The sequence below is a fragment of the Homo sapiens genome, chromosome 2 (genome assembly GCF_000001405.40).
Source record: "Homo sapiens chromosome 2, GRCh38.p14 Primary Assembly".
Lineage (NCBI taxonomy): Eukaryota > Metazoa > Chordata > Mammalia > Primates > Hominidae > Homo > Homo sapiens.
This window is the reverse complement of record NC_000002.12, coordinates 171,742,181-171,750,700: the sequence shown is the minus strand read 5'-3', so window position 1 is coordinate 171,750,700 and position 8,520 is coordinate 171,742,181. Positions and strand designations below refer to the sequence as shown.

Here is an 8,520-nt window from a genome sequence, read left to right as displayed (position 1 = left end):
TTAATTATACAGCTTTCTCATTTAGAAAACTATTAGAATGTCAATGTTGAAATACTGGGGTTGTGGAAAAGACATTTAAAAATACACCGCCCAGTGAGTGGCAGGTGACCACTGAAATTTATGGCAGCGCTTTAGGGAAAAACAAACAAACAAAAAAACCTACTGGCTTTCTGACTTAAAAGTAATGCACTACTCAATATAAAGCAAAGATAGTATGATATGCTTCACAGCAGATTTTCACTCATCCATTCAAGTCTTTCTGTATGGTTCAAGGGGTGGATATTAGTCTATCCACACTAGTACAGAACAGACTAAAACATTTTAACAACACTGAAAGACTAGGACCAATCATTCCTAAAACGACTTTCCTATAGTTCCTCCCACTAAATTTTAAGTCATCCATTCCTTTGAGATGCAGTATTTCAGCATTATTGTAACAACATTTTATACAAAGAGATTTTCTAAACTTTATAGGGAGCTGGATCTGTAAACAGGAAGAAAGCTTCTACCAATGCATATTTGGTTTAAATAATACCAAAAAATGATTATTTCAGAGATTTATTGCAAGTTAATTGTCTGTGAAGCTGGATATTCCTTAACATGAAGGTAATAAACTTTAACGTTCCACTCAAAAAGACAAAAACCAAACAACGAAAAATAAGAAATTAACCAGAAAGCTATAGCTTGTTTTCTTACTCAGAAAAAAAGTATAACTGATAAGGTACAATTTCTGTAACTGGATATTTTTCAAAATTATAAGGCTTTTAGTTCTAAAAGTATAAAGAACTGTGATGCACTTCTAGTCAACCTAATCTTGCTAGAAGCTTTATCAACACTGACAGTCTCAATACTTTCTCTTTTGCTATTATATAGTCAACTTTAAAGGTAATTCCTTAAAGTAAATTTGTGTGTTCCTAAAAATATGGACTAAAGTTGAATGGGCAAAGGTATACATCGCATTTTCTGGGGGAGTAGGGGAGAAGTCATTCCCAAAAAGTGAAATATTTAAACAATTTTATTCTTTCTTTCACAACTAAACACACCTTGAGGCTGAGGAACATGTGATTTGCCATATGATTTCCAACCTTTTCTTATCCATTATGTTTTAACACTTGTTTTCCCTACTTTTAGTCATTTTTACAAACTGAAGGTAAAGATACAGTAACTACATGAGTAGTGAGTACATGAATTTTTCTATATAAAGAAAGTGTGACTCTACTAAAATTGAAGTTTTGACTCACAGACACTGCTACAATGAGATAACTTGAGATATTGTCTTTGGTATATAATGGGCAATTATGGGGTATTAATTTATGAAACTGAATATAGAAAAGTAAAGAATTGCCTACTTTTCTATATTCCATTTCACATACTGATACCCCTTAATTGAGTAGAGCTGAAAGAAAATTCAGAAATCATTAAATCAAAACTTAATTCCTACATATAAAGAATGCGGCACAGACTTGGCTAAAATCACACTTCTCATAGATGCTTCAGCAAGAATCAGAGTTTGGGGCCAATAATTCCAGGTCAATTATTCCTTACACTATACACTACTCATTATTTGGAAATTTCTCTCCCAACAAATCTTTGTTACAATTATTAAAAGAAAAATGTTCACATTCTGTTTTCTAATCTCTCTTCCTAGTTCATGTTCTGTTGAATAAAAGACAGTTACACTTCAGAAGTACAAAAGGTTGGGATCAAATAAATAGACAATTTAAAGTAGATAAAATCAAGATCTGATCATAGTCCTTTCCTCTATTCCTGAAATTCACTGATTTCAATACTGATTCTTAGATATTTGTCACCTACCTTTCGGACTTGTAGACAATGCTGTGGCAACAGATCTCAAGATGTAGATTTTAATGCCAAAGTATGGGTCCATTTGAGCACTTTGCCTTTATGGCTACTGAAATCATGAAATCAATTTCTCTCAAAGATTTTACTCTCAGTGAGGTCACATACATAGTTCTTAATCAGTGAAAATTATAGGCAGCTTTCTATTTATCCTTTAAAGGAAATATGTCTTAGATGGAAAGAATATAAAGTAGTAAAGCAAAAGTTAACCTAGGGGAAATTTTTTCACCAACAGATTATCTAGACATCAATTCATAATGCACTGGGAGATCTATAGTATATACCACATGGTATATTTAGGGTACACAGCTCTATAGGATTTGAGATGGCTGCTCACAGCAGGAGCTTAAAGAAAGATATGGAAAAAATATATTTTATAAAAGATGGAAAAATTCAAGTTGTAAGGAGTAAAAATGAAAATTTGAAAAGTTAACGCATATTTGTTTTTATTTATAGGTAACTACCACATGAATTATAAAGACAACAAAGGATGTCAGAATGAACATGGATAGGTGTATGCATACTACGGCTAAGGAGAAACAATGTTCCTACATATTATGGGTAGTGAGAACATTATCTGTATAACAGGGAACTGTGATTATTTAAAAATATGCAGAACTTATTTCATCTGTGCTTTAGAAATAACTGTATACAGTGTTATAAGTTGAAAAGAACTCAAAATAACTAATACCAAATATACACCTATGTATTAGAATTCAAAAAAGCTGCTTTCTGTGAAGTCAATCAGCTATATTAAAAAATGACACAAATCCAAAACAAGATGCATGTTATATATAAAGGGACATTGTAAGTTTCCTTGCTGCATTAAACCCATGGTTTAATCCATGAAATTTCCTTTTAATTATCATTTAGACAGAAGCATGCAAATAGTCTCAGGATCTACTTAAGAACCTTTCCCAAATCCACTAGTTACACTCCCCTTTTCAGGAACTAAGCAGGTATTCGGGTAGCTGCTTCCTCCTCTGCATCAGCTCGGTTTGCATTAATTTCTGCAAGTGTTCGGCCAAACCGTGCCCATTCATCATTGCGGGGAACAGCAATCTGCTGTTAAAAGAAAGACAATGTTTTATATACAATGAAATAAAAGATCATTTTACCCACTATTATTCAGTTTGTTTTCAAATAATTTTTCTGTTAAAAAGTAATAATTGACCTGAATGGCCTTTCCATAATTACGGGGACTATAACAATGATTTACAACATTTCAAAACAAAAGACGGTGTTTGTGAAGTGTGTTGTGACAGCCTCAGAAATGACTTGGCTATTATCACCACCAATGCAAGAGAGAATAACAATGATGCTTTGTAAATATAACTCCTATGCACCATCTCATGGATTTTGCTGGAGAGGAATTCCTTAAAATTTTTTTTTTACTGTATTCTTGCAAAATTCCTAGTAAGAAACAGTGTTTGAAGCATGGTTCATAAGGGGGCTCGTTTCTTGTAAGTATTTTTCTTTGGAACATAAGGTAATCTTTCTTGATACCTTAACTCCTTCATCAAAAGCTGTGCTACTATTTACCACTTTAGTGCTGCACTGGTGGCAAAAGAGCCTTGTGATGCTTTACTTCAGAGGCAGCCCAATAACATATATATATATATATATATATATAATTTTTTTTTTTTTTTGAGACAGTCCCACTCTGTTGCCCAGGCTGGAGTGCAGTGGCACTATCTTGGCTCACTGTAACCTCTGCCTCCCAGGTTCAAGTGATTCTCCTGCCTCAGCCTCCCCAGTAGCTGGGATTACAGGTATGTGCCACCATGCCTGGCTAATTTTTGTATTTTCAGTAGAGATGGGGTTTTGCCATGTTGGCCAGGCTGGTCTCGAACTCCTGACCTCAGGTGATCCACCCGCCTCATCCTCCCAAAGTGCTGGGATTACAGGTGTGAGCCACTGCGCCCGGCCCCAATAACAAATATTTTTGATAACTGCCATTATAATATCATAGGAGTCTGACACTGTCATGTTAGGGCACAAACCACTCACTGTGGCAAATGGCTGTGCCTGTTTATAAATCTACACTATCCAGTAGGGTAGCTACTGGCCACATGTGACTGTGTATATTAAAATTAATTAAAATTAAAAATTCAGTTACGCAGTTGTAGTAGCAACACTTAGAGTGTTCAATAGCCATATGTGGCTAGAAGCTACCATATTAGTGCAGGTACAGAACATTTCCATTTGTGCAGATAGTTTAATTGGCTGCTGTAAATGATTAAATCTACCTCCCACCAGATCCAATTGCTAGAGGCCATGGGATATCCAGAGAGGAGAGAAATCATGAGGCATAGCAAAGGAAAGTGACTAAGGTCACTTTTTTAACCCCTAGCCAGGGTTAAAAAAGAGGAAATCCATCCTGGGCTTTGTGTTCAGCCAATCAGAGCAGCAAAGATGAGAGAGCTGCAGCTCATCCTATTGGATTCCATTACTGTGGCTTTGCATCAAGGCTTAAGAGTCAAGATGCACATTGCATAAAGTCACAGATGGTTCTCAAAAGATACTACTTTTGGTTTCTACTACCTGGCCCAAATTAATGAATACAGAAAAATAAATCTTATTTCAATATCAATAAAACCCCAAAGTCCACCTATAACTCCAAACTTCTCCCCAAAGAATTTCTAATTTCCAGCAATGCATGCTTCAAGAAACAAGGTATTTTCAATGTATTTATTGTATTACCCTCAAAATCTGTTGCATGGGAAACAGAACATTCGGTTTAGAAAGAAAATGTTTCAAGAGCTGCTTCTGTGGTAGAAAGTAAGTTTTATCTTTACAACCATATAGTTTAAACAACTCATAAACCTCAAAGCCTAGGGTTAGCCACAAAGATGCCTTTACTACAATGCAACTAAATCGATGTGTCAAAATTACAGGCAGGGAGTCCCATACCTCTCCCACATCGTATATAACAATCTGTCCTTCAGAATCACCCACAGCAATCTCTCTGCCAGAATGGGTCCATCTCACACGATTAAGAGCAGGATTACCCTCCACAGAAATGCTGGCAGTTGGTACCTAAAGTCATTTAAAATAAAGGACAGTGTTAAAAGTTTCATCAAGATTTCTATAAACATGTAAAACAGTAATTCTTCTCTCAAGCTGGCTACATTTTTAAAAACAAAGATGAAAACAGGTAAGAATTTCCCCAACTTTCTTCTTCTTCAGTGATATATTATGAATGACATTATAGTCGATCCTTGAAAATGGTTTGGGAAAATAAGTCTTTGTATAAAAAATTCTCAGAAGACTAGACACATTATTTTGAAAGGTCTTCTCTTGAATAAAGAATCCTTTTTTGTTGTTTTAATGTCTTTAAGAAGTCAAGCTGTTTGAAAACACATGGCCAAAACCCATTTAAAAAGAAAACACTTCAAAAGCCCTCATAAGCAGATTATGGTTCAGTTGTAAAGGACAAGAATCACTTGTGCAGCATGTATCTCTATCAGCTGAAACCTGTATTTGACTCAGTGTTCCTAGAAACGGTTCATACTGAAGGTGCAGTATGAGTCTGTCTAAAGCCTCTTGTTCCATGAGCTAGCTGGAGATAGCCAGGATGATGGCACCAACACAATGGCACCAGCTCCCTGGAATCTGACTGTGCCTCTTCTTTGCTAAGGAAGAAGAGTTTTATTTGCTACACATGGAGCAAACATTCAGTGTTTGGATTCAGACTAAAAGTATGATAAAATTTTTAAAAAATTTTGAAATTTGACAAAAAAATCCTTCTAATTTGTACTAGTCATCCCCAAATAATTTAACCCCATACACAGAATACCAAAATTGTTATAAAGAAATATTAAATTTCAATCCACATTTAATTGTAACTTCAAATCTCTAAGACTAAAATCCAAATTAAGAAAACAGAATTGGTACCATTCTAGCTAACTAGGAAGAGATGTGGGAGATCTGAGTTGACTCTCTCAACAATTGTTATTGACAGAAATGCTAATATTAATTATATTACTAATAGCAATATAGAATAGAATTCTAAGAACATTTTTAAGCTTCTCTAAGCTGGTAAAAATACATGTGACTAAAAATAAATAAGAGTTGCAATTAAATTTAATGGCTAATAAGTGATTTTAGTACAGCAATTAGGAAATCTGATAGTTTCTATATTCATTTTATAGTAACACTCTGTTTTCAATCCTTCATAGAAAAAACTCATCAAAAATCAAAATATATTTTTCCTTCCTTCAAACAAATCAGGCTAAGATTAATGTTTATGGATGATATACAATGCTATCAAGGCTAAGAGATAATTTAGAAATTCAGAATTAAGGTTAACATACTTCAACAGTCTGAAACTATCTGCTTTCTAGCTTATGAATGAAAAACATCCCAGTTATCTTATGAATGAGACTTTGCCAGGACATTAGAGACATGATAGTGCTTTTCAGAAGTAAAAGGAAATGCCCCAGTGCTCCTGGCAACATTATTTCTCCCTTTAGTTCTTCGCAGCATGCTGTTTATTATTTAGGGTACAAAGCTTATTTGAGTTCTTTGTGATGAATCTACAATCACAGAACCCTTTTACATTCTTTGGAAAAAAAGGAATTTCACAAATTATTCAATAAATATCCAATTTTCTATTTTTCAATGCAATTTTTGTTATTTTCCTGCTCACCTCTGTGTCATTATTGAGATTCCACAAATCCAATCTCCCCATGCCATCCACACAGGCAAACAGGGCTGGGTGGGTAGGTGACCACATAACATCATAAACATAGTCTGCATTATCTTCAAATGAATACAAAGGCTTGTTATTCTGAAAGAGAAAAGTTGATTCTTAGCACAGTCCATATATGACATACAAATCATTAAACTACTTATCACTGGGAAAAAAATGACATACATTCAACAGGTATGATAACATTTTATGATATTTAACTCAGCCTAGAAAAAGTTCCTACAATTTGTTTCACTACAGAATTACCTGGTATTGTAAACTAAGAATCAACTATTGATTGCATTTTCTTTTTAACTTGTAGATGCCATACTGTTTAAAAAAAGAAATAGAACATGCTTCAAGAACATCTGTCAATGAGAAGATTCTGGGAAGATAACAGCAATAGCAGTGTACTTTTTAAATCTCCTCTAGTTCTCCCCATAAACTCAGATAAAGCAATGAGGGCAGGAAGAGCAAAGATTCACAGACAGCATCTACAGCAGAATCAGGAGACAAACTTCCAAATAAAATCAGGTGGAAACAAACCTCTCACAACTACAAGACTTGCATGGTATCAGTATCTGTGTGGGAAGAAGATGAAGGAAGGCACGAGAACTTCTGACAGGTGGAGAACAGAACCTCACAGTCATAGCAGATGCTCACTGGACAGTGTGGTGGGCTAATCTGAGAACAGCAGCAAAAACTAGGGGGCAGTTTGGCACAATTCCATTTATAAATACATTTGACCCTTGAACCATATAGGTTTGAACTGCAGAGATCCACTTATACTCATATTTTCTTCTGCCTCTGCCACCCCTGGGACAGCACAACCAACCCTTCCTCTTTCTTTTCCTCCTCAGCCTACTCAACTGTGAAGATGATAAGGATGAAGACCTTTATGATGATCCACATCCACTTAATGCATAGTAAATATATTTTCTCTTCTTTATGATTTTCTTAACATCTTCATTTCTTTAGCTTGCCCTTAAGATGACAGTATATAATACATATAACATAAAAAATATGTGTTAATCAACAATTTATGTTGTCAGAAAGGTTTCTGGTCAGTAGTAGGCTATTAGTAGTTAAGTTTTTTGGAAGTCAGAAGTTATATGTGGATTTTGAACTGCTGGGATAGGCGTTGGCACCCCTAAGCCCTGCATTATTCAAGGGTCAACTGTAAATGCAAGCAGACTACAGTGCAGTATAAGTAAGTTCTCATGGTACAGTCTGGGTGCTATAAACTCTCAAAATTAACAAATCAAAGTTCCTTTCCAAGACAAAGTCTCACAGAAGAGAAACTGCTGGGAGTAGAATCCAAGTTGTAGAATGCCAGACAAAAGAGACAAAGCAGTAAGTTCAGACAGAAGTGGTGGAGAGAAGCAGAAAAGGCACATCTCAGAAAGCACAAGGTACATGTATTCTCACTTTGCAAAAGCCAGAGAAGAGACAGCTTTAACCTAGAAAATGAACTAGGAAAGTTATCCTTGCCCATTCCCTCCCTCCTAAAAATACACAAAAATTCATTTCACTAGTAGACAATAGCAAAGAAAAGGATCTCAGTCAGATTCCATAAAAGTTATTGTGGTGTCAAGAAAATTAGATAGGAAAGGAATAGTCTTTTCAAGAAATGGTGCTGGGAAAACTAGATATACATATGCAAAAGAATAAAGCTGGCCCAGGTGCCATGGCTCATGCCTGTAATCCCAGCACTTTGAGAAGCCAAGGTGGGTGGATCACATGAGCTCAGGAGTTTGAGACCAGCTTGGCAACATGGCAAAACCCCATCTCCACAAAAAATACAAAAATTAGCTGAGCATGGTGGCATGCACCTATAGTCTCAGCCACCCTGGGGGCTGAGATGGGTGGATGGTTTGAGCCCAGGATGTCGAGGCTGCAGTGAGCTGAAATCACACCACTGCACTCCAGCCTAGGCGATGGGAGTGAGACCTTGTCTCAAAAAATAA

The 8,520-nt window shown here is 35.7% G+C and overlaps 1 protein-coding gene across 12 annotated transcripts in view; it reads right to left on the bottom strand.

The window, feature by feature from the left end:
- Nucleotides 1-542: 542 nt before the first annotated feature.
- Nucleotides 543-8,520, bottom strand: part of DYNC1I2 (dynein cytoplasmic 1 intermediate chain 2) — a 62,690-nt gene continuing 54,712 nt past the window's right edge. For 8 of the 12 annotated variants that reach the window (NM_001378.3, NM_001271786.2, NM_001320882.2 and 5 more), the window contains 3 exons: nt 6,512-6,652; nt 4,774-4,899; nt 543-2,925 (listed from right to left, as the gene is read on the bottom strand). In NM_001378.3, coding sequence (NP_001369.1) covers nt 2,812-2,925; nt 4,774-4,899; nt 6,512-6,652 — 381 coding nt within the window. In that variant the 3' untranslated portion in view covers nt 543-2,811. The remainder of the gene's footprint in view (nt 2,926-4,773; nt 4,900-6,511; nt 6,653-8,520) is intronic. The other 4 variants (NM_001271790.2, NM_001320884.2, NM_001378455.1 and 1 more) reach the window with 2 other exon arrangements.